Below are 1,778 nucleotides of genomic sequence, written 5' to 3' on the forward strand. Positions count from 1 at the left end.
GGCTGCGGGGAGAACAGCCTTGGCGGGGGCGGTGGAGGCGCCAGGTGAGAGACCAGATGAGATGGTCCCAACGAAAGGATGGCGTGGACCACGGTGGGAGAAACGGTCCCATCTGGACAGACTTTGGAGGAATAGCCTGGGGACTTACGCAGAGATTCGGTGTAGGGTGTGAAACAAAGAGGGGAGACGAGGATGGCTTCGAGTTTTGGCCTGGGCTGCTGGGACAGAGTTGTCCTGGCTGGAATGGTGAAGGCTGGGAGAGGGGCAGGTTTGGAAGAGAACGTACTGTGATGGCGGGAATGTACAGAGCCACAGCTTTTTAGAAGAGCAGATTGTCAATATTTGTCAAATATTTTGCGAGGTGCAGGCCATTTAAACCAGCTAACCCACTTGTAGCAATTTATCTTAGAAAAACAGCAGGCTAGGAAGAAAGGAAGCTCACTGGGCATATACATATCTTCAAGGCTGCTTTGCTTGCAAAAGCAAACGTTTGGAAAAACATAAATATTTTCAATCAAATAAAATTCAGTGCAGCAAAAGATGGAACCCTATACATCCATTAAAATATTGGGGAGGGGGGAGGGATAGCATTAGGAGATATACCTAATGCTAAATGACGAGTTAATGGGTGCAGCACACCAGCATGGCACATGTATACATACGTAACTAACATTGTGCACATGTACCCTAAAACTTAAAGTATAATAATAATTTTTTTTAAAAAAGAAAAAAATATATATATAATCTGCCCTGGATGACATGGGGAGGTGATCAGAAAATTTGAGGTGAAAAACAGCAGATCAGAAAATTATACAATCTCACTTTTTACAAAATCAGCTTTGTAGGTGTGCGTATGTAGGTAGAGAAAACCTGGAAGAATATACAGTGATTGCACATTGAGCTGGATAACAGCAGGTATCCTAGGAAAGTCTAATTATGGTCAAGGCAGATGTTATGGGCTGAATTGTGTTCCCCTCCACATTCATATGTTGATGCTGAGCACGGTGGCTCATGCCTGTAATCCCAGCACTTTGAGAGGCCAAGGCAGGCAGATCACTTGAGGTCAGGAGTTTGAAACCAGCTTGGCCAACATGGTGAAACCCCGTCTCTACTAAAAATACAAAAATTGGCCAGGCATGGTGGTGCACACCTGTAATCCCAGCTACTCGGGAGGCTGAGGCATGAGAATCGCTTGAACCCAAGAGGCAGAGGTTGCAGTGAGCCAAGATCGCGCCACTGCACTCCAGCCTGGGCAACCAAGCGAGACTTCATCGCAAAAAAAGAAAAAAGAAAAATAATTTGTATGTTAAAGTCCTAATCCCCAGTACCTCAGAATGTGTTGGAAATAGAGTGGTTACAGGTATCATTAGTTAAGGTGAGGTCGTTAGGGTGGGCCCTATTCCAAGATGACTGATGTCCTCATTAAAAGGGGAAATTTGGATACGGACACACAGGGAGAACATGGTGAGAAAATAAAGGCAGAAATCAGGGCAATACCAAATACACACCAAAGAATGCCAAAGATTGCCAGTAAGCCAACAGAAGCTGGGAGAGAGGCCGGCAGCCAATTCTTCCTCACAGCCCCCAGAGGAAACCAACCCTACTGGTGCTTTGATCTTGCACTTCAGATCCTCCAGTGCTGTGAGACGATAAATGTTTGTTGTTTGAGTCGCTCCATTGGGGTACTTGATTATGGCAGCCTTAGCAAACTAATACAGCTGACTTGCTATCTCATCTGAAATTTCCACACTACATAATATATTTATCTTCAGAAAACC

Source organism: Homo sapiens, chromosome 2 (genome assembly GCF_000001405.40).
Source record: "Homo sapiens chromosome 2, GRCh38.p14 Primary Assembly".
NCBI lineage: Eukaryota > Metazoa > Chordata > Mammalia > Primates > Hominidae > Homo > Homo sapiens.